The 25,191-nt window shown below is 43.9% G+C and overlaps 1 long non-coding RNA gene across 1 annotated transcript in view; it reads left to right on the top strand.

The window, feature by feature from the left end:
• LOC105372335 (uncharacterized) overlaps nucleotides 1-20,767 on the top strand; it is a 35,695-nt gene extending 14,928 nt beyond the window's left edge. The window contains exon 3 of the long non-coding RNA XR_007067208.1: nucleotides 20,495-20,767. This is a non-coding gene — a long non-coding RNA (uncharacterized LOC105372335). The remainder of the gene's footprint in view (nucleotides 1-20,494) is intronic.
• Nucleotides 20,768-25,191: the final 4,424 nt, after the last annotated feature.

Here is a 25,191-nt window from a genome sequence, read left to right on the forward strand (position 1 = left end):
ATATATATATATATATATATATATATATATTTTTTTTTTTTTTTTTGAGACAGTGTTTCACTTTTGTTACCCAGGCTGGAGTGCAATGGCATGATCTCAGCTCACCTCAACCCCCACCTCCTGGGTTCAAGCGATTGTCCTGCCTCAATCCTCCCAGCCTCCCGAGTAGCTGGGATTATAAGAATGCGCCACCACGCCCGGCTAATTTTGTATTTTTAGTAGAGATAGGGTTTCTCCGTGTTGGTCAGGCTGGTCTTGAACTCCTGACCTCAGGTGATCCGCCCACCTCGGCCTCCCAAAGTGTTGGGATTACAGCCATTTGCCACCGTGCCCGGCCAATACCATTATATTTAACAGTGATAGCTTACAGGGCAGGGAGGGGACACATATGACACAACCTTAGAATTTTAATTTGGTCGTAAGTTTTTTTGTTTTGTTTTGTTTTTGGAGACAAGGTCTCACTCTGGTACCTAGGCTGGAGTACAGTGGCACAACCATAGCTAATAACTTGGTTGTAACAGTTCCTTAAAAAATATTTTTGGCAGAGTTTGATGGCTAACACCTGTAATCCAAACACTTTGGAAGACCATGGTGGAATGATTGCTTAAACCTAGGAGTTCAAGACCAGTCTGGGCAATGTAGTGAGATTCAGTCTCAACAAAAACGTTAAAAATTGGCCTCATGTGGTGTTGCATGCCTGTAGTCCCAGCTACTTGAAAGGCTGAGGTGGAACCATCACTGGAGGTTGAGGCTGCAGTGACCAGTGACCCATCATTCAGCTACTACACTCCAGCCTGGGTGACAGAGTGTATACACACACACACACACACACAGAGACACATACATATATATATACACACATATATATGTACCCTATGTATATAATCAAAATAATATGTATGTTGAAAGAAATTCAAGCACAGAAGAAAAGTGAAAGACCCTGGTTGGGAATGTGGTAAAAGATGAGCATGGCTCTTACGGCTCAGTGAGATTTGTTTTTCCATCTTGAGGAACTGCTCTCCCACACTGAAACCACAACCCAGCACATGCCAGTTCTCACACTATTTATACTTTGCTCAAAGGCAGCAGAAATAGGCCAACATCATGGTTTCTGACATGGAAGTCTATTCCCCACTGAGACATTTTAAAAATGTTATTCTCCCTCTCCCTCTCCCCCTCCCCCTCCCCCTCCCCCCCATCCCTCTCCCCACGGTCTCCCTCTCCCTCTCTTTCCACGGTCTCCCTCTGATGCCGAGCCGAAGCTGGACTGTACTGCCGCCATCTCTGCTCACTGCAACCTCCCTGCCTGATTCTCCTGCCTCAGCCTGCCGACTGCCTGCGATTGCAGGTGCGCGCTGCCACACCTGACTGGTTTTCGTATTTTTTTGGTGGAGACGGAGTTTCACTGTGTTGGCCGGGCTGGTCTCCAGCTCCTAATCAGGAGTGATCCGCCAGCCTCGGCCTCCCGAGGTGCCGGGATTGTAGACGGAGTCTCGTTCACTCAGTGCTCAATGTTGCCCAGGCTGGAGTGCAGTGGCGTGATCTCGGCTGGCTACAACCTCCACCTCCCAGCCGCCTGCCTTGGCCTCCCAAAATGCCGAGATTGCAGCCTCTGCCCGGCCGCCACCCCGTCTGGGAAGTGAGGAGCGTCTCTGCCTGGCTGCCCATGGTCTGGGATGTGAGGAGCCCCTCTGCCCGGCTACCCAGTCTGGGAAGTGAGGAGCACCTCTTCCCGGCACCATCCCATCTAGGAAGTGAGGAGCGTCTCTTCCCGGGCGCCGATCGTCTGAGATGTGGGGAGCGCCTCTGCCCCGCCGCCCCGTCTGGGATGTGAGGAGCGCCTCTGCCCGGCCGCGACCCCGTCTGGGAGGTGAGGAGCGTTTCTGCCCGGCCGCCCCGTCTGAGAAGTGAGGAGCCCCTCTGCCTGGCAGCCACCCCGTCTGAGAAGTGAGGAGCCCCTCCGCCCGGCAGCCGCCCCATCTGGGAAGTGAGGATCGTCTCCGCCCGGCAGCTGCCCCGTCCAGGAGGTGGGGGGCAGCCCCCGCCCGGCCAGCCGCCCCGTCCCGGAGGGAGGTGGGGGCCAGCCCCCGCCCGGCCAGCCGCCCCGACCCGGAGGGAGGTGGGGGCCAGCCCCTGCCCGGCCAGCCGCCCCGTCCGGGAGGGAGGTGGGGGGCTCCTCTGCCCGGCCGCCGCCCCGTCCAGGAGGTGGGGGGCGCCTCTGCCCGGCCACCCCTTCTGGGAAGTGAGGAGCCCCTCTGCCCGGCCGCCACCCCATCTGGGGAGGTGTACCCAACAGCTCATTGAGAACGGGCCATGATGACGACGGCAGTTGTGTTGAATAGAAAAGGGAGAAAAGGGGGAAATGTGGGGAAAAGATAGAGAAATCAGATTGTTGCTGTGTCTGTGTAGAAAGAAGTACACATAGGAGACTCCATTTTGTTCTGTACTAAGAAAAATTCTTCTGCCTTGGGATGCTGTTGACCTTACCCCCAACCTGGTGCTCTCTGAAACATGTGCTGTGTCCACTCAGGGTTAAATGGATTAAGGGCGGTGCAAGATGCGCTTTGTTAAACAGATGCTTGAAGGCAGCATGCTCGTTAAGAGTCATCACCATTCCCTAATCTCAAGTACCCAGGGACACAAACACTGTGGAAGGCCCCAGGGTCCTCTGCCTAGGAAATCCAGAGACCTTTGCTCACTTGTTTATCTGCTGACCTTCCCTCCACTATTGTCCTATGACCCTGCCAAATCCCCCTCTGTGAGAAACACCCAAGAATGATCAATAACAAAAAAAAGAAAAAAAATGTTATTATATTAAGCCCTCTTCCTTCTAATAAAGTCTATACAAATACACACATACAAGCCTGAAACTACTCTAAATAAAATATCAGGTTTTTAAAATCCCATAAAGAAACAAGCAAACACAAAATCAGCCACTTTGATTGAGGAGAGAGTGGGATGGAGGGGGTTAGGAGGCTGCCCGTATCACCTCCGGGCGGCATGTGGAGGAGCAGATGGAGTCTAGGAAGACCCTGGGGAGTCACTTGTTCTGACTGGGCTTTCTCCTAGCTCGACACTTTGCTAACCATTTCCTGGGAAGAGCTTAGGAAACTCCTGTGCTCTAGTGAGGCAGAGCCTCCCCTCACAGGGTATTGGCAAGGAGGCATTCTGAGACTGTGATTGAGAAGCTAGCACAGTGCTTGACAAGTACCTGTGGGAACTGTCATCCTCTGTAACTATCATGTGGCCTTGGAGTGTTCAGATGGCCTGGCCTGGCCTGGGGCTTGGTGGAGATGTTTGAGGGTCAGCTGCTTTAGGCTCCCACTTTCTCCTCAATCAAAGTGGCTGTTTTTGTGTCTCTTTATTTATGGAATTTAAAAACCTGATATATAAATAGAAAGTGCAGCTGGAGGTGCCGAGGCTCAGTGTCTAGAACTGTGCTGCTTGGGCTTGCTTGCTGGCCTGTGGCCAGGTGAACTCTGGGTGTGAGGTGCTTCCCACCCTGGATCTACGATCCCCACTACCTCTCCCAGGCCCTGAGTAACCAACACAAGGCGGTGCTAAAGAGCCGGTGAGTGACAGCCATGAAGCCCATCAAGGAAGATTTGAATGCTATCTGGGCTAGGGCTGTCAGGGGTAGGAACTATGGTGGCCTTGTCTTATCATGGCCCCACCCACAGATGTGACTGCCTGTGCTGCTTCTCCAGCAGCCAGCTGTCTGTGGCCCTGAGCCTGTCGTACCATGCCTGCTTCCTCATGCTGTTCATGTTTAAAAAAAAAAAAATCTGAGATGGCGCTGCTGGATGTGAGTGCTGGAAATGGGGCGCCACCTTTGTCCTAGGGAATTAGGAGCTGACCAGATACCTCCTGAGTGCCCCCTATAACAAGTGGGGAGTGGTGTTGCACTAAATGATGTCCCCCCTCCTCCCACCACCGAAGATGTGTTTGTATTGGTTCAATGAATATACAATGCAGAGACCTAAATGAAGACACATGAATGGGTGTATGTGGACATCAGCTTGCAGCTGGGAAACAGGTGCCTCTCATTCTCCCCAGCAAGTGTGGAAGGTGTCCATGCCCATGAGTGTATAGATCTGGCCTTTTTCTTAATTTGTTCACAACCCCAGGTCTGTTCTGAGTGAATGATGTGCAGATGAGATTTCTCAGGTCATTGGTATGTTTGACCTTGTGGCTGCTGCTTTTGCTGCCACTACCCCCAAGCCCAACCTGGCTTAAAGTCCAGGCTTTAGGTCAAAAAGACGGAGGGCTTCCTGTGTTCTGGGATGGGAAGTTCTCGATCTGTGGTAGGACTGGGTGTTGGGGTACACTTTAGTTTCGTGTAGGATGTGAGCTGCAGTGGTTTTATTAATTGTGATTGCCCTGGCCTGGTTGTAGCTCCGGGTGGGGAGAAGGAATCAACAGTGGTGTTTCCCCAGATATCCATGTGCCCAGCCCTGGCCTTCCTGCCCTCAGACCCAGAAGTAAGCACCACCACAGACTCTGACTTGCCTCCCTACTCCCCATACCCCAGATGGGAATACCTTGAAGGCTACAATCTGGAAGTATTATTCTCCTCATTTTAACCAGACCCACATAAACACACAGTGTGGGAGTGAGGGTAGGATGGGTTGGGGACCTGGGGAGAACCAGAGTGGAATCATAAATCCTTGGGAAAAGTTAAAGATACAGAAGTGGTGGTAACCTCTCCATGAAGCCCAGCTCCCTACCTGATTTTTGCCACACAGTCCCTCCTACAGACACTGTAGGGTGGCTCTGGGGGTTGTTGGGGATCCCTATAGGCCTGGGCTGCTCTCTGTCCCCACCTGCCTGTGCTCCTTCTCTCTTTTGTTGTTGTTGTTGTTGTTTGTTTGTTTTGTTTTGTTTTTCAGATGGCAGTTTCATTCTTGTTGCCCAGGCTGGAGTGCAATGGCACGATTTTGACTCACTGCAACTTCTACCTCCTCGGTTCAAATGATTCTCCTGCCTCAGCCTCCTGAGTAGCTGGGATTACAGGTGCACACCACCACACATGGCTAATTTTTGTATTTTTAGTAGAGAAGGGTTTTCGCCATGTTGACCAGCCTCATCTCAAACTCCTGACTTCAGGTGATCCGCCTGCCTCAGCTTCCCAAAATGCTGAGATTACAGCTGTGAGCCACCACACCCGGCCCCTGTGCTCCTTCTCTTTGCCTGCTGTCAGGGCCCTAACGTGGAGAAGGAGGCAGGTCCTCAGCCTCAGGTATAGCTGAATGTCTTTTGGAGTGTTTGAAGCATGCTTTATGTCTTAGAAATTCTAAAAAGTAAAACGAATTCCAATTGTAATGTCTGTTAGTTTTCCTGAGCCAACTGGAAGAAAAGGATTTTTCACCTGAAATTTTTAAATGACACCCAAGGATAGCCACCAGTGTCTTGGCCATGGAAACCTCCTATGTGCTTCCCACCCCTGGTTTGATTTGCAACCTCATGATTGTGTTGCCCTGAACATACTTTCCTCTGGTGAATATGGTTCACATGGTTAACACCACTTCATGAGAGGGGGGCATCATGTAGAGATGAGAATGGATTGTCTTTAGTTACCATTGTGCCTCTTTGTCACCTGAGAGGCTCACTTTTCCTGGCTGATTCCATAAGTGTGTTAGTGTTGTCAGACACCTCTGGACAACTCAAATGACAAGGGGCTGTTGTTTTATAAAGGAAACAAAGGCTTTGGATGTGAAATCCTTCTTTTCTTTTTCCCTTCTTTTAGGTGAAATACTTCAGTTTTTTTCTTAAGGGTAAACAGTGGTATCTTAGCAGGTTTAGCGTAAGAATTGGCATGTGCTAGGTTGTGGTTTCAGTGTGGATGGGCAGTTCCCAAGATGGAGAACCAGGTCTCACTGAATTGCAGGAGCCACACTTTCTCTTTTTCATATCCCCCACCATGTGCACGTGTGTGTGTGTGTGTGTGTGTGTGTGTGTTTACACATACAGGTCTCACTCTGTAACCCAAGCTGGAGTGCAGTGGCTGAATGATGGGTCACTGCAGCTTCAAACTTTCAGTCTTAAGTGATCCTCCTGCCTCAGCCTCCCCAGTAGCTGGGACCACCGGCATGCACCAGCCTGCCTGGTTCTTTTTTTTTTTTTTTGGTATTTTTTTAAAGTAGAGACAGAGCCTTGCCATGTTGGGTAGGCTGGTCTTGAACTCCCGAGCTCAAGCAATCCACCCGCATTGGCTTCCCAATGTACTGAACTACAGACATAAGCCACTGTGCCCGGCCTAGTTTTATTATCTGATTACACAAGTATATTTCTTCATAACAATTCACTGAGCTTTACTTGAATGAAGAATTTCTTCATGTATTTCTCTATGCATGTTACATATCAATAAAAAATTACATAGTACATATTTGCACAAAATGCTAACTCACTATCTCAAAATAACAGCAGTAATTTTTTTTTGCTTGTTTCATGGTGAGACACACTCAGAACATGATCATACTTCTCTGCTATCATGACACACTTATTTCACAGTTTTTTATGGCTCTACAAACAATAGAAATAAAGAAGGGGTCTCTTGTGTGCACTTATGGGGTATACTTAAATGTAGAGAATTTTGCAGCCAACATTATATATGAAAAAACTTACACCTTGATAGGTAAAAGATGAAGGGCCAGCCTGTGTGAGAAATTTTTATGGGATATTTGTTCCCTCACAATATCAGAAACAGAATATTGGTCCACTGCTCTTAACCTACTTCATAAGTTAAGGACAACTTTTTCACAATAAGTTAAGGAGCATTTCCAGGATGCCCTTACTCTTCTGAATGGCCATGATTTGTTAGGTCTTTCTTTCCATGGTATAAAGTAAATGAGGCAATGGTTAGAAATGTATCCCCCCAATAGGGCTCTATAGAAGATTATACTGTAAAGGCTATGATTACACAATAGATTTTAAATTTACTTACTAAAGTTGTGCTAAATAATATTATTTCATTCTTTCTTTTTTTTTTTTTTTGAGATGGACTCTCGCTCTGTCGCCCAGGCTGGAGTGCAGTGGCTCGATCTCGGCTCACTGCAAGCTCCGCCTCCCAGGTTCACGCCATTCTCCTGCCTCAGCCTCCTGAGTAGCTGGGACTACAGGCGCCCACCACCATGCCTGGCTAATTTTTAGCATTTTTACTAGAGATGGGGTTTCACCATGTTAGCCAGGACGGTCTCGATCTCCTGACCTCGTGATCCACCTGTCTCAGCCTCCCAAAGTGCTGGGATTACAAGCGTGAGCCACTGCGCCCAGCAATAATATTATTTCTTTTAATTACTTATTGGATGAACAGAGAAGTACCTATGAAGTTGCTAACACTTGTAGTTGCACATGGAGAAATACGTAGTGTAGGCTCCCTGAGCCTACTCTGCATCCACGGAGATGCAGTTGCAGCGGATTAATGAACAGTGTGCTTGGTTGAAATGAGTAGACCACTTATCTAGCTAACTATTCGGCCTATTTAATTTTAGTTGGTGTTTCGTGGGGACCCTGGCTAAAAAGCATGCTTCAAACTCTTGGTATCATTCTCCTGATAGTTGAAATAGTAGTGTCTCCCTACTTCACCGTATTCTCTCAAAAGTTATAAATGTTTGCATGCAGTCATCTCCAAAATGTCAAATGATCTCTTTTAAACCAGAATGGCAGAAACTCAAAGACACATGTGACTACGAAGACACCATAACCTATGAATGACATGATAAGGACAAAAACCCAAAATAGGACAGGTGCGGTGCCTGTAACCTCAGCACTTTGGGAGACTGAAGTGGGTGGATCATGAGGTCAGGAGTTTGAGACAAGCCTGGGCAACATAGTGAAACCCCATCTCTTCTAAAAATACAAAAATTGGCCTGTTGTGGTGGCTCAGGCCTGTAATCCCAGCACTTTGGGAGGCCGAGGTGGGTGGATCATGAGGTCAGGAGATGGAGACCATCCTGGGTAACACGGTGAAACCCTGTCTGTACTAAAAATACAAAAAATTAGCCAGCCGTGGTGGCATGGGCCTGTAGTCCCAGCTACTCGGAAGGCTGAGGTGGGAGAATTGCTTGAACCCAGGAGGTGGAGGTAGCAGTGAACTGAGATAGTGCCACTGCACTCCAGCCTGGACAACAAAGCGAGATTTCATCTTAAAAAAAAAAAAAAGACAGAAAAAAAGATAATGGAAACAGAGTGGCACTAAGGCCCTGAGTTTTGGTCACACCGTGACCTATGTGAGAGCTTACAAATAGGGTAATTTTTTTTTTTTTTTGAGATGGAATCTTGTTCTGTTGCCCAGGCTGGAGTGCAGTGGTGCAATCTCGGCTCAATGCAAACTCTGCCTCACGGGTTCAAGTGATTCTTCTGCCTCAGCCTCCCGAGTAGCTGGGACTACAGGTGTGCACCACCACGCCCGGCTAATTTTTGTATTTTTACTAGAGACGGGGTTTCACCATATTGGCCAGGATGGTCTGGATCTCCTGACCTTTTGATCCGCCAGCCTCAGCCTCCCAAAGTGCTGAGATTACAGACCTGAGCCACTGAGCCCGGCCTGGGGTGAATTTTTTAAACAAAATTATTTATGGCCATCATCTGGACTGAGCATGTGCACTCTTCCCAAACAGACCAAAACAAAACAAAATGAGTCACTCATGCCAAAAGTGAGCTAATCAAACCTAAAATTTAAGAAAATAGCTAGATCTTAGACCAGTTTTTCTTTGGGAGGCGGAGGCGAGTGGATCACCTGAGGTCAGGAGTTCGAGACCAGTCTGACCAACATGGAGAAACCCCTGTCTCTACTAAAAATACAAAATTAAAGCCAGGCGCGGTGCCTCATGCCTGTAATCCCAGCACTTTGGGAGGCTGAGGTGGGTGGATCTTATCAACTTTAGCATCCAGGAAGGAGCATAAAAGATTTTAAAAAGAGAGAGAGAGCAAAGAACACAGAAGAAAAACCACAGCAACTCCCTCTAAGTGCTGTTGAAGCCAACTAAAAGTGGGGCTAGAAAAAAAAACAGAGGAAGAAGCTTGAGTAGTTTCACGTACTCGGGAGGCCGAATGGAAAGACCACCTGGGCAAGACTGAGGAGATCGAGGCTGCAGGGAATCACAATCGCATCCTTCTCCTGGACCTGAAGAGTACTGCCACTGGTGACCGCTTTCTGGTCTACCTTAGACATGGCAAGCTGGTGGCCAAGTCCAATGCTCATGGCTGAAGTCTGTCTTAACATAAATAAACTAACAACTAACAGTAAATATTTAACAATAATAAGTAATAACAAATAATAACAAGACAAATAAGTGAGAGGGAACACAGATAAAAGGTAATTAATGTCACAATTAATTGTTGTCTCTCTTTCTCTGTCTCTCTCTTCCTCAATCTCCATGTGTCACACTTTCACACCCAGGCTGGAGTGCACGTGTGTGGTCACAGCTCATTGCTGATCACTCACCTGCACTCCAGCCAGAATGTGATACAGTAGGAAGACCTAGCTAAAAATAATAATTTTATATATATATATATATATATATATATATATATATATATCACGTCAATTTCAGCATGCAGAAAGGAGCATAAGAAAATAAAAGAGAGAGAAAGAGCAAAGAAGAAAGGAAAAAAAAAAAAACCACAGCAACTCACTGTAAGTACTGCGGAAGAAAACTAAAAGTGGAGCTGGAAAAAAAAAAGAACAGAGGAGGAAAGTCCAAGTATTTTCAGGTACTCTGGAGGCCAAGATGGATGGGACGACCACCTGTGAAAGACCAGGGAGATTAATATCGCAGTGAATCACAATTGCATCCCTCTGCCTTACCTGAACACTACTACTGGTGAGAGCTATCTGGTAGACCTTAGAAGTGGCAAGCTGGCAGCCAAGTCCAATGCTCGCAGCCAACATCTGCCTCAAAATTAATAAATAACCGACAGTAAATAATAAGAAAGAAATGATAATGGACAATAATATTACCAATAAATAAATAAGTGGGAGTGAACAAAAATAAAAGGTAATTAAAATCACAATTAACTGTATCTCTCTCTGTCTCTATTTCTCTGCCTCTCTCTGTCTTTCTGTTTTAGTCTGGGTCTCTGTCTCTCTGTCTTTCTGAATCTCTCTTCCCTGATCTCCGTGTGTCACACTGTCAAACCCAGGCTGGAGTGAACGTGTGTGGTCACAGCTCACTGCTGATCATGTACCTGCACTCCAGCCAGGGTGTGACAGACTGAGAAGACCTGGCTAAAAAAATATATGTGTATATATAAAACATCAACTTCAGCATACAGGAAAGAGCGTAAAAAAAAATAAAATAAGAGAGAGAGAGAGAATGAGAGCAAAGAACAAAGAAGAACAACTATAGCAACTCTCTCTAAGTACTGTGGAAGCAAACTGAAAGTGGGGTTAGAAATAAAACAGAGGAACAATGTCTGAGTAGTCCCAGGTACTCGGGAGGCCAAGATGGGAAGACCACCCGGGTGAGACTGGGGAGATCCAGGCTGCAGTGAATCGTCATCACATCTCTCTTCTGGACCTCAATGGTACCACTGCCAGCAAGAGCCAAATGGTCAACCTTAAACATGGCAAGCTGGCGGCCAAGTCCAACACTCGTGGCTGACATCTGTCTAAAATGTATAAACAAATAAACAAACAATATTTTTTTTTTTTGAGCTGGAGTTTCGCTCTTGTTGCCCAGGCTGGAGTACAGTGGCGTGATCTTGGCTCACCGCAACCTCTGCCTCCCAGGTTCAAGTGATTGTCCTGCCTCAGCCTCCGGAGTAGCTGGGATTACAGGCATGCGCCACCACGCCTGGCTAATTTTGTAGTTTTAGTAGAGTTGATGTTTCTTCGTGTTGGTCAAGCTAGTCTGAAACTCCCGACCTCAGCTGGTTTGCCCGCCTCGGCCTCCCAAAGTGCTGGGATTACAGGTGTGAACCACCTCGCCTGGCACATAAATATTTAACAATAACAAAGAAATAACAAACAATGATAAGACCAATAAATAAATAAGTGGGAGTGAACAAAGGTAAAATGTAATTAATATAACAACTAATTGTTGTCTGCCTCCCTGTCTCTCTCTGTTTCTGTCTCTCTGCCACTGTCTGTTTGTGTCTCTGTCTTTCTGTCCCTCTCTCCATCGATCTCCATGTGTCACACTCTCACACACATGCTGGAGGGCAGGGGCATGGTAACGGCTCACTGCTGATCCAGCACCTACACTCCAGCCAGGGTGTGACAGTGAGAAGACCTACCAAAAATCAAATTTAAACATCCACGTCAGCGTTCAGGAAGGAGGGTAACAAAAAAGAAAAAAGAAATGGAGCAAAGAACAAAGAAGAAAGACCACAGCAACCCCCTCTAAATACCGTGGAAACAAAATGAAAGTGGGAGTAGAAAAAAAAAAGAAGGAAGATGGCCTGAGTAGTCCAAGGTAAATGGGAGGCTGAGATGGGAAGTCCTCCGGGTGACATCGGGAAGATCGTTGCTGCATTGAATCATGATGGCATCCCTCTGCTGGGCCTGAACAATACTACTGCCAGTGAGAGCCATCTGGTCAACCTTATCACCAGCGAGAGCCATCTGTTTGACCTTAGACATGGCAAGCTGGCAACTAATCCAACGCTCGCAGCCAACATCTGTTACAAAATAAATATACAAAAAAACCCAATAGTAGATATTTAACAATAACTAAGAAATAATAGGCTGGGCGTGGTGGCTCATGCCTGTAATCCCAGCACTTTGGGAGGCCGAGACGGGCGGATCACGAGGTCAGGAGATTCAGACCATCCTGGCTAACATGGTGAAACCCCGTCTCTACTAAAAATACAAAAAATTAGCTGGGCATGGTGGCGGGCACCTGTAGTCCCAGCTACTTGGGAGGCTAAGGCAGGAGAATGGCATGAACCTGGGAGGCAGAGCTTGCAGTGAGCCAAGATCGAGCCACTGCCCTCCAGCCTGGGTGACAGAGTGAGACTCCGTCTAAAAAAAAAAAAGAAATAATAACAAATAATTTTAAAGACCAATAAATAAATGAGAGTGAAAAAGGGTAAAAGGTAATTAATATCACAATTAAGATCTTCTTTATTTTTCTCTCTCTCTGATTGTCACACTCATGCTGCAGTGTGTCAAAAAAAAATCTAAGAGGTCAACTTCAGCATGCAGAAAGGAACATAGAAAAATAGAGTGAGAAGAACAAAGATTTAACACAACAGCAAGTCACTCTAAGTACTGTGGAAGAAACTGAAAGTGGGGTTAGAACCAAAACAGAGGAAGTAGGTCCTAGTAGTCCCAGGTACTTGAGAGGCTGAGATGGGAAGACTACCCTTGTGAGACCAAGATCGAGGCCACGGTGGATCATAATCACATCCCTCTGCTGGACCTGAAACGGTATGGCCACCAGCGAGGCCATCTGGTCGACTTCAGACATGGCAAGCTGGCAGCTAAGCCCAACGCTCATGGTCAATGTCCATCACAAAATATATAAACAAACCAACAGTAAATATTTAACAATATCAAAGAAATAATAACAACAAACATTAAACACCAGTAAATAAATAAGTGGAAGTGAACAAAGGTAAAAAGTAATTAATATTACAATTAAGATCTTCTTCACTCTTTTTCTCTCTTTCTCTCTCTTCATTTGTCACACCCAGCTGGAGTGTGACCAAAAAATCTAAAAGGTAAACTTTTTAAAAAATTTTTATTATTATTATACTTTAAGTTTTAGGGTACCTGTGCACAATGTGCAGGTTAGTTACATATGTATACATGTGCCATGCTGGTGTGCTGCACCCATTAACTCGTCATTTAGCATTAGGTGTATCTCCTAATGCTATCCTTTCCCCCTCCTGCCACCCCACAACAGTGCCCAGAGTGTGATGTTCCCCTTCCTGTGTCCATGTGTTCTCATTATTCAATTCCCATCTATGAGTGAGAACATGCGGTGTTTGGTTTTTTGTCCTTGTGATAGTTTACTGAGAATAATGATTTCCAATTTCATCCATGTCCCTACAAAGGACATGAATTCATCATTTTTTATGGCTGCATAGTATTCCATGGTGTATATGTGCCACATTTTCTTAATCCAGTCTATCATTGTTGGACATTTGGGTTGGTTCCAAGTCTTAGCTATTGTGAATAGTGCTGCAATAAATATATGTATGCATGTGTCTTTATAGCAGCATGATTTATAATCCTTTGGGTATATACCCAGTAATGGGATGGCTGGGTCAAATGGTAATTCTAGTTCTAGATCCCTGAGGAATCGCCACACTGACTTCCACAATGGTTGAACTAGTTTACAGTCCCACCAACAGTGTAAAAGTGTTCCTATTTCTCCACATCCTCTCCAGCACCTGTTGTTTCCTGACTTTTTAATGATTGCCATTCTAACTGGTGTGAGATGGTATCTCATTGTGGTTTTGATTTGCATTTCTCTGATTGCCAGTGATGATGAGCATTTTTTCATGTGTCTTTTGGCTGCATAAATGTCTTCTTTTGAGAAGTGTCTGTTCATATCCTTTGCCCACTTTTTGATGGGGTTGTTTTTTTCTTGTAAATTTGTTTGAGTTCATTGTAGATTCTGGATATTAGCCCTTTGTCAGATGAGTAGGTTGCGAAAATTTTCTCCCATTTTGTAGGTTGCCTGTTCACTCTGATGGTAGTTTCTTTTGCTGTACAGAAGCTCTTTAGTTTAATTAGATCCCATTTGTCAATTTTGGCTTTTGTTGCCATTACTTTCGGTGTTTTAGACATGAAGTCCTTGCCCATGCCTATGTCCTGAATGGTAATGCCTAGGTTTTCTTCTAGGGCTTTTATGGTTTTAGGTCTAACGTTTAAGTCTTTAATCCATCTTGAATTAATTTTTGTATAAGGTGTAAGGAAGGGATCCAGTTTCAGCTTTCTACATATGGCTAGCCAGTTTTCCCAGCACCATTTACTAAATAGGGAATCCTTTCCCCATTGCTTGTTTTTCTCAGGTTTGTCAAAGATCAGATAGTTGTAGATAAGCGGCATTATTTCTGAGGGCTCTGTTCTGTTCCATTGATCTATATCTCTGTTTTGGTACCAATACCATGCTGTTTTGGTTACTGTAGCCTTGTAGTATAGTTTGAAGTCAGGTAGTGTGATGCCTCCAGCTTTGTTCTTTTGGCTTAGGATTGACTTGGTGATGTGGTCTCTTTTTTGGTTCCATATGAACTTTAAAGTGGTTTTTTCCAATTCTGTGAAGAAAGTCATTGGTAGCTTGATGGGGATGGCATTGAATCTATAAATTACCTTGGGCAGCATGGCCATTTTCACAATATTGATTCTTCCTACCCATGAGCATGGAATGTTCTTCCATTTCTTTGTATCCTCTTTTATTTCATTGAGCAGTGGTTTGTAGTTCTCCTTGAAGAGGTCCTTCACGTCCCTTGTAAGTTGGATTCCTAAGTATTTTATTCTCTTTGAAGCAATTGTGAATGGGAGTTCACTCATGATTTGGCTCTCTGTTTGTCTGTTATTGGTGTATAAGAATGCTTGTGATTTTTGTACATTGATTTTGTATCCTGAGACTTTGCTGAAGTTGCTTATCAGCTTAAGGAGATTTTGGGCTGAGACAATGGGGTTTTCTAGATATAGAATCATGTCATCTGCAAACAGGGACAATTTGACTTCCTCTTTTCCTAATTGAATACCCTTTATTTCCTTCTCCTGCCTAATTGCCCTGGCCAGAACTTCCAACACTATGTTGAATAGTAGTGGTGAGAGAGGGTATCCCTGTCTTGTGCCAGTTTTCAAAGGGAATGCTTCCAGTTTTTGCCCATTCAGTATGATTTTGGCTGTGGGTTTGTCATAGATAGCTGTTATTATTTTGAGATATGTCCCATCAATACCTAATTTATTGAGAGTTTTTAGCATGAAGGGTTGTTGAATTTTGTCAAAGGCCTTTTCTGCATCTATTGAGATAATCATGTGGTTTTTGTCTTTGGTTCTGTTTATGTGCTGGATTACATTTATTGATTTGCATATATTGAACCAGCCTTGCATCCCAGGGATGAAGCCCACTTGATCATGGTGGATAAGCTTTTTGATGTGCTGCTGGATTGGGTTTGCCAGTATTTTATTGAGGATTTTTGCATCAGTGTTCATCAAGGATATTGGTCTAAAATTCTCTTTTTTAGTTGTGTCTCTGCCCGGCTTTGGTATCAGGATGATGCTGGCCTCATAAAATGAGTTAGGGAGGATTCCCTCTTTTTCTATTGATTGGAATAGTTTCAGAAGGAATGGTACCAGTTCCTCCTTGTGTCTGTGGTAGAATTCAGCTGTGAATCCATCTGGTCCTGGACTCTTTTTGGTTGGTAAGCTATTGATTATTGCCACAATTTGAGATCCTGTTATTGGTCTATTCAGAGATTCAGCTTCTTCCTGGTTTAGTCTTGGGAGAGTGTATGTGTCGAGGAATTTATCCATTTCTTCTAGATTTTCTAGTTTATTTGCGTAGAGGTGTTTGTAGTATTCTCTGATGGTAGTTTGTATTTCTGTGGGATCGGTGGTGATATCCCCTTTATCATTTTTTATTGCGTCTATTTGATTCTTCTCTCTTTTTTTCTTTATTAGTCTTGCTAGAGGTCTATCAATTTTGTTGATCCTTTCAAAAATCCAGCTCCTGGATTCATTAATTTTTTGAAGGGTTTTCTGTGTCTCTATTTCCTTCAGTTCTGCTCTGATTTTAGTTATTTCTTGCCTTCTGCTAGCTTTTGAATGTGTTTGCTCTTGCTTCTTTAGTTGTTTTAATTGTGATGTTAGGGTGTCAATTTTGGATCTTTCCTGCTTTCTCTTGTGGGCATTTAGTGCTATAAATTTCCCTCTACACACTGCTTTGAATGTGTCCCAGAGATTCTGGTATGTTGTGTCTTTGTTCTCGTTGGTTTCAAAGAACATCTTTATTTCTGCCTTCATTTCGTTATGTACCCAGTAGTCATTCAGGAGCAGGTTGTTCAGTTTCCATGTACTTGAGTGGTTTTGAGTGAGTTTCTTAATCCTGAGTTCTAGTTTGATTGCACTGTGGTCTGAGAGACAGTTTGTTTTAATTTCTGTTCTTTTACATTTGCTGAGGAGAGCTTTACTTCCAACTATGTGGTCAATTTTGGAATAGGTGTAGTGTGGTGCTGAAAAAAATGTATATTCTATTGATTTGGGGTGGAGAGTCCTGAGGATGTCTATTAGGTCTGCTTGGTGCAGAGCTGAGTTCAATTCCTGGGTATCCTTGTTAACTTTCTGTCTCATTGATCTGTCTAATGTTGACAGTGGGGTGTTAAAGTCTCCCATTATTAATGTGTGGGAGTCTAAGTCTCTTTGTAGGTCACTCAGGACTTGCTTTATGAATCTGGGTGCTCCTGTATTGGGTGCATATATATTTAGGATAGTTCACTCTTCTTGTTGAATTGATCCCTTTACCATTATGTAATGGCCTTCTTTGTCTCTTTTGATCTTTGTTGGTTTAAAGTCTGTCTTATCAGAGACTAGGATTGCAACCCCTGCCTTTTTTTGTTTTCCATTTGCTTGGTAGATCTTCCTCCATCCTTTTATTTTGAGTCTATGTGTGTCTCTGCACGTGAGATGGGTCTCCTGTATGCAGCACACTAATGAGTCTTGACTCTTTATCCAATTTGCCAGTCTGTGTCTTTTAATTGGAGCACTTAGTCCATTTACATTTAAAGTTAATATTGTTATGTGTGAATTTGATCCTGTCATTATGATGTTAGCTGTTTATTTTGCTTGTTAGTTGATGTAGTTTCTTCCTAGTCTTGATGGTCTTTACATTTTGGCATGATTTTGCAGTGGCTGGTACTGGTTGTTCCTTTCCATGTTTAGTGCTTCCTTCAGGAGCTCTTTTAGGGCAGGCCTGGTGGTGACAAAATCTCTCAGCATTTGCTTGTCTGTAAAGTGTTTTATTTCTCCTTCACTTGTGAAGCTTAGTTTGGCTGGATATGAAATTCTGGGTTGAAAATTCTTTTCTTTAAGAATGTTGAATATTGGCCCCCACTCTCTTCTGCGTTGTAGAGTTTCTGCTGAGAGATCCGCTGTTAGTCTGGTGGGCTTCCCTTTGTGGGTAACCCGACCTCTCTCTCTGGCTGCCCTTAACATTTTTTCCTTCATTTCAACTTTGGTGAATCTGACAGTTATGTGTCTTAGAGTTGCTCTTCTCAAGGAGTATCTTTGTGGCATCCTCTGTATTTCCTGAATCTGAATGTTGGCCTGCCTTGCTAGATTGGGGAAGTTCTCCTGGATAATATCCTGCAGGGTGTCTTCCAACTTGGTTCCATTCTCCCCATCACTTTTAGGTACACCAATCAGATGCAGATTTGGTCTTTTCACATAGTCCCATGTTTCTTGGAGGCTTTGTTCATTTCTTTTTATTCTTCTTTCTCTAAACTTCCCTTCTTGCTTCATTTCATTCATTTCATCTTCCATCACTGATACCCTTTCTTCCAGTTGAATGCATCGGTTCCTGAGGCTTCTGCATTCTTCACGTAGTTCTCGAGCCTTGGCTTTCAGCTCCATCAGCTCCTTTAAGCACTTCTCTGTATTGGTTATTCTAGTTATACATTCGTCTAAATTTTTTTCAAAGTTTTCAACTTCTTTGCCTTTGGTTTGAATTTCCTCCTGTAGCTCGGAGTGGTTTGATTGTCTGAAGCCTTCTTCTCTCAACTTGTCAAAGTCATTCTCTGTCCAGCTTTGTTCCATTGCTGGTGAGGAACTGCTTCCTTTGGAGGAGGAGAGGTGCTCTGCTTTTTAGAGTTTCCAGTTTTTCTGCTCTGTTTTTTCCCCATCTTTGTGGTTTTATCTACTTTTGGTCTTTGATGATGGTGATGTACAGATGGGTTTTTGGTGTGGATGTCCTTTCTGTTTGTTAGTTTTCCTTTTAACAGACAGGACCCTCAGCTGCAGGTCTGTTGGAGTTTGCTAGAGGTCCACTCCAGACCCTGTTTGCCTGGGTATCAGCAGCGGTGTCTGCAGAACTGTGGATTTTTGTGAACCGCGAATGCTGCTGTCTGATCATTCCTCTGGAAGTTTTGTCTCAGAGGAGTACCCGGCCGTGTGATGTGTCAGTCTGCCCCTAGTGGGGGGTGCCTCCCAGTTAGGCTGCTCGGGGGTCAGGGGTCAGGGACCCACTTGAGGAGGCAGTCTGCCCATTCTCAGATCTCCAGCTGTGTGCTGGGAGAACCACTGCTCTCTTCAAAGCTGTCAGACAGGGATATTTAAGTCTGCAGAGGTTACTGCTGTCTTTTGGTTTGTCTGTGCCCTGCCCCCAGAGGTGAAGCCTACAGAGGCAGGCAGACCTCCTTGAGATGTGGTGGGCTCCACCTAGTTCGAGCTTCCCAGCTGCTTTGTTTACCTAAGCGAGCCTGGGCAATGGTGGGTGCCCCTCCCCCAGCCTCGCTGCCACCTTGCAGTTTGATCTCAGACTGCTGTGCTAGCAATCAGCGAGCCTCCATGGGCGTAGGACCCTCCGAGCCAGGTGCGGGATATAATCTCCTGGTGCGCCGTTTCCTAAGCCCATTGGAAAAGTGCAGTATTAGGGTGGGAGTGACTCGATTTTCCAGGTGCCGTCTGTCACCCTTTTCCTTGACCAGGAAAGGGAACTCCCTGACCCCTTGTGCTTCCTGAGTGAGGCAATGCCTCGCCCTGCTTTGGCTCACGCATGGTGCACTGCACCCACTGTCCTGTGCCCACTGTCTGGCACTCCCTAGTGAGATGAACCTGGTACCTCAGATGGAAATGCAGAAATCACCCGTCTTCTGCGTCGCTCACGCTGGGAGCTGTAGACCGGAGCTCTTCCTATTCGGCCATCTTGGCTCCTCCCACCCTAAAAGGTAAACTTAAGCGTGTAGAAAGCTACGTAGGAAAAGAGAGAGAGAAAAGAAAAAAAAAAGCAAAAGGACAGCAAGTCATTCTAAGTACTCTGGAAAAAAACTGAAAGTGGGGTTAGAAAAAAAATAGGAAGAAGGTCTCAGTAGTCCCAGGTACTCAAGGAGGCCAAGATGGGAAGACCACCCGGGTGAGACTGGGGAGATGAAGGCTGCAGTGGATCACAGTTGCATCCCTCTGCTGGACCTGAACGGTACTGCCACAGGTGAGAGCCATCTAGTGAAACTTAGACATGGCAAGCTGGCAGCTAAGTCCAAGGGTCATGGGTGGCATCGGTCTCAAAATTAATAAACAAAAATACCAACAGTAAAAAAAAATTAACAATAACAAAGAAATAACAAACAATATTAAGGACCAAAAGTAAATAAGTGGGAGCGAAAAAAAAGGTAATTAATATCACAATTAAGATCTTCTCTCTCTGTCTCTCTCCTTTTGTCACATCCAGGCTGAAGTGTGACAAATGAAAAATAACCTAAAAATTCAACTGCAATGTGCATGAAAGACCATAGGAAAATAAAGAAAAGAACAAACAAGAAAAACAACAGCAAGTCACTCTAAGTACTGTGGAACAAATTGAAAGTGGGGTTAGTCTGTAATATTGTTTGTTATTCTTTCTTTATTATTGTTAAATATTTACTGTTGGGTTTTTAAATTTATTTTGAGACTGATATCAGCCTCAAGGCTTGGACTTAGCTTCCAGCTTACCATCTTTAAGGCTGACCAGATGACTCTCGCTATGCCATGTCTAAGGTTGACTGGATGGCTCTTGCTGGAGGTAGTACCATTCAAGTCCAGCAGAGGGATGCCATCGTAATTCACTGTGGCCTCATCTCTCTGGTCCCACCCAGGTGATCTTCCCATCTCAGCCTACCGAGTACCTGGGACTACTCGGACCTTCTTCCTCTGTTTTTTTTTTTTTTTTCCTAAACACACTTCCAGTTTGTTTCCACAATACTTAGAGTGACTTGTTGTTGTTTATCTTCTTTGTTCTTTTGTCTCTCTATTCTCCTATGCTCCTTCCTGTATGCTGAAGCTAATCTTTGTTTTTTTTTTTTTTTTTTGGTCACACTCTAGACTGGGTGTGACAAAGAGACAGAGAGAGAGAGTGTGTGTGTGTGAGAGAGAGAAAATAAATCTTAATTGTGGTACTAATTACCTTTTACCTTTGTTCACTCCCATTTATTTATTTATTGGTCTTTAATATGGTTTGTTATTTTTTGTTATCGTTATATATTTACTGTAGGTTTTTAAATATATTTTGAGACAGATGTCGGTTGCAAGCATTGGACTTAGCTGCCAGCTTTTCATGTCCAAGGTCGACCAGATGGCTCTGGCCTTGCCATGTCTAAGGTCATCCATATGACTCTTGCCAGTGGCAGTACCGTTCCGGTCCAGCAGGAAGATACGATCATGATTCACTGTGGCCCTTGACCTCCCTGGTCTTGCCCAGGTGGTCTACCCATCTCTGCCTCTTGAATATCTGGGGCTACTCGAACCTTCTTCCCCTGTTTTTTTCTAACCTCACTTTCAGTTTCTTTCCACAGTACATAGAGTGATTTGCTGTTGTTTTTCTTCTTTGTTCTTTTCTCCCAGTATTTTCCTACACTCCTTCCTGCATGCCGAGGTTGACGTTTTGTTGTGTGACTACCTGGATAAGACTGGAAAGATCAAGGCTGCAGTGAATCAGGATTGCATCCCTCTGCTGGAGCTGAATGGGACTGCTGCTGACAAGAGCCATATGGTTAACCTTAGACAGCAAAACGTGAGCCATCTGGAGGACCTTAGACATGGCAAGGCAAGAGCCATCTGGTCGACCATAGACATAGCAATCTGGTGGCTAAGTCCAATGCTTACAGCCAACAGCTGTCTCAAAATAAATAAACAAAAAACCCAACAGTAAATATTTAACAATAACAAAGAAATAATAACAAACAATATTAAAGAAAATAAATAAGGAGGAGTGAAAAAGGTAGAGTACAATAAATATCACAATGAAGATTTTCTCCTCTCTCTTTCTCTCCATTTGTGACACCCAGGCTGGAGTGTGACAAAAAAAAAAAAAGAAAGAAAGAAAAGAAAATAGGTTAACTTCAGCTTACAGGAAGAAGTGTAGGAAAATAGAGAAAAGAACAAAGAAGAAAAACAATAGCAAGTCACTATAAGTACTGTGGAAATAAACTGAAAGTGGGTTGAGAAAAAAACAAACAAACAAACAAAAACAGAAAAAGAAGTTCTGAGTAGTCCCGGGTACTTGGGAGGCTGAGATGAGAAGAACACGCAGGTGTGACCAGGGAGATTGAGGCTGCAGTGAATCACGATCACATCCTTCTGCTGGAACTGAACAGTACTGCTACCAGTGAGAGCCATGTGGTGAATCTTCGACATGGTAAGGGAAGAGCCATCTGGTTGACCTAATACATGTCAGGGTGAGAACCATCTGGTCAACCTTAGACATGGCAAGCTGGCAGCTAAATCCAATGCTCACTGCCAATGTCTCTCAAAATAAATAAACAAAAAAAGTAAATATTTAACAATAACAAAGAAATGATAACAATATTAAACACCAATAAATAAATGAGAGTTAACAAAGGTAATTAATATCACAATTAAGATCTTTCTCTCTCTCTCCTCTGTGTGTGTGTCTCTCCCCTTTGTCACACCCAGGCTAGAGTGTGATAAAAAAATATTTAAAAGGTCAACTTCACTGAGGAGGAAGGAGCATAGGAAAACACAGAAAAGAGCAAAGAAGAAAAACAACAGCAGGTCACTGTAAGTACTTTGGAAACAAACTATCAGTAGGGTTAGATAAAAAACAGAGGAAGAAGGTTGTTTCAGGTACACGGGAGGCCAAGATGGATAGATCACCCAGGTGAGACTGGGAACATTGAGGTCACAGTGAATCACGATCGCATCCCTCTGCTGCACATAAACTGTACTGTCACCAGCGAGAGCCATCTGCTCGACCTTATACATAGCAAGGCAAGAGATACCTAGTTGACCTTAGACATGGCAAGCTGGCAGCTAAGTCCAATGCTTGTGGCTGAGATCTGTCAAAAAATAAATACACAAAAAACAACAGTAAATATTTAACAATAAAGAAATAGTAACATACAATATTATTGACCAATAAATAAGTGGAAGTGAACAATAATAAAAGGTAATTAATATCACAATTAAGATCTCTTTTCTCTTTCTCCCTGTATGTCACACCCAGGCTACAGTGTGATAAAAAAATCTAAAAGTCAACCTCAGTGTGCAGGAAGGAGTGTAGGAAAATACTGAGAGAAAAGAACAAAGAAGAAAAACAACAGCAAATCACTCTATGTACTGTGGAAAGAAACTGAAAATGGGGTTGGAAAAAACAGAGGAAGAAGGTCCGAGTAGTCCCAGGTATTCAAGGGGCCGAGATGGGTTGACCACCTGGGCAAGACCGGGGAAGTGAAGGCCAGAGTGAATCACCATTGTATCCTCCTGCTGGACCTGAACGGTACTGCCACTGGTGAAAATCATATGGACGATCTTAGACATGGCAAGGCGAGAGCCATCTGGTCAACCTTAGACATGGAAAGCTGGAGGCTAAGTCCAACGCTTGCGACTGACATCTGTCTCAAAATAAATTTAAAAACCTACAGTAAATACATAACAACAAAAAAAATTAAAGACCAATAAATAAATAAATGGGAGTGAACAAAGGTAAAAGGTAATTAGTGTCAAAATTAACATTTATTTTCACACACACACACACACACACACACACACTCTCTGTCTCTTTGTCACACCCAGTCTGGAGTGTGACCAAAAAAAACAAACCAAAAGGTCAGCTTCAGCGTACAGGAAGGAGCATAGGAGAATAGAAAGAAAAAAGAACAAAGAAGATAAACAACAACAAGTCACTCTTAAGTATTGTGGAAACAAACTGGAAGTGTGTTTAGGAAAAAAACAGAGGAAGAAGGTCCGAGTAGTCCCAGGTACTGGTAGGCTGAGATGGGAAGATCACCTGGGTGGAACCAGGGAGATCAAGGACGCAGAGATTCACAATCGCATCCCTCTGCTGGACCTGAATGGTACTACCTCCAGCGACAGCCATCCAGTCGACCTTAGATATGGCAAAGCGAGAGTCATCTGGTCAGCCTTAAAGATGGTAAGCTGGAAGCTAAGTCCGAGGCTCGAGGCCGATATCAGTCTCAAAATAAATAAACAAAAAAACCCAACAGTAAATATTTAACAATAACAAAGAATAACAACCAATATTACAGACCAATAAAGTGGGAGTGAACAATGGTATAAGGTAATTAATATCACAATTGAGATCTTCTCCTTTCCTCTCTCTTTTTTCTCTCTCTCTCTCTCTTTTTTCCATTTGTCACACCGAGGCTGGAGTGTGACAAAAAATAAAATCTAAAACTTCAATTTCAATGTCCAGGAAGGAGCTAAGGAAAATAGAGAAAAGAACAAAGAAGAGAAACAACAACAAATCACTCTAAGTACTATGGAAACAATCTGAAAGTGGGGTTAGAGAACAAACAGAAGAAGAAAATGCGAGTACTCCCACGTACTACTCGGAAGGCCAAGATGGGTAGACCACCTGGGCAAGACCGGGGAGATGGAGGCCACAGTGAATCACGATTGCATCCCTCTGCTGGACCTGTGTGGTACTACCGCCGGCAAGAGCCACCTGGTCGACTTTAGACAATGCAAGCTGTTGGCTAAGTCCAACACTTGCGACCAACATCTGTCTCAAAATAAATTTAAACACCAACAGTGAATATATAACAATAACAAAAAATAGCAAACAGTATGAAAGACCAATAAATAAATGAGTGAACAAAGGTAAAAGATAATTAATATTACAATTAAGACCTTCTCCCCTTACTCTCATTTTTTCTCTCTCTCTCTTTCTCTCCCTGTTTGTCACACTCAGGCTCGAGTGTGACAAAAAAATAAACCAAAAGGTCAACTTCAGCATGCAGGATGGAGCATAAAAGAATAGTTTGCGGGTTAGGGCTCAGAAATGGAAGGAAGGCTGGGAAATGCAGGACCACAAGAAATGAAAAGCTGTGTTCATTCTCCCCTGGTGACCCTATGCTCAGCAGGGACTAGCAGAAACTGAGGGTTTTGTGATTTGAAAGGGAGGATGAGTCCAGCCACATACCCCTGGCTGTTACCTAATGTGTGGGCTTCACTAACATTAGATAGTAATTTGGGGAAAAGAGTAGAAATAGATCATTTGTTTGTCTCCATGTAATTTTTTTTTTTTAAGACAAAGTCTCACTCTGTCACCCAGGCAGGAGTACAATAGTGCAATCTTGGCACACTGCAACCTCTGCCTCTGGGGCTCAAGCAATTATCCTGCCTCAGCCTCCCAAGTAGCTGGAACTACAGGCGAATGCCACCGTGCCCAGCTAATTTTTATATTTTTGTAGAGACGGTGTCTCACCATGTTCCCCAGGTGATTCACCCTCTTCTGCCTCCCAAAGTGAGCTCAGGTGATTCACCCTCTTCTGCCTCCCAAAGTGCTGAGCCACAATGCCCAGACTTCATATAAGAGTTTTCAGTGTGAGTTTTTTTTTTCTTCTACTGGTCAGCATAGAACCTTTTTTCAACATGTGAGTTTCTTCCTAATTACTGGATTGTGGCACCAAAAAAAAGGCATATTTGAAGTTCTAAATGTCATATTATACATTGTGAAGTGACTTCTCAGGACTGATCTTATCTAAGAAAGAAGTCTGGAGAAAGAGAGAAAAGAAAGAGACATGAAGAATGGCAATATCAACCCAGGTGATAGTCATTCTTGGTTGATTATCTTCTTAATGCAGTGCTGTGTTTAGCACTGACTAACCTTTGATTCTGCAGTCTCCTACCTGACACATTGGCTTGCACTCACCCAGGACCTTACCTCAGTCTCCTCCCATCTTTATTTAACTGTCATTTCATGAAATGGCACTTGTGAAAAGGCTCTGTATAGATTGTCTTGGGCAAAGCTTCACTCCAGACCTAGATTGAGGACACGGAGTGGGCTCTGTGGGTTCAGTAGAGTTGAGCTGCAGGGATTGTTTAGGGGCCACATCTGGAGGTACCATCTGCTTTCTCTGAACCAAAATTAAACAAAATGCACATGTAATGGTGCATTAATATCCAGGAAGACCTGGGGAATCTTAGACAACAAATATTGATACCAAAAAACTGGCTAAGTTTGACTTCATAATGCATTTGAAGCTAACCCAAGTGAATTAGTGCTGTTTGAGCCTCAAAGTAGAATCCATAAAACTCTACAATTACAAATATAAGCC

The sequence above is a fragment of the Homo sapiens genome, chromosome 19, assembly GCF_000001405.40.
Source record: "Homo sapiens chromosome 19, GRCh38.p14 Primary Assembly".
NCBI lineage: Eukaryota > Metazoa > Chordata > Mammalia > Primates > Hominidae > Homo > Homo sapiens.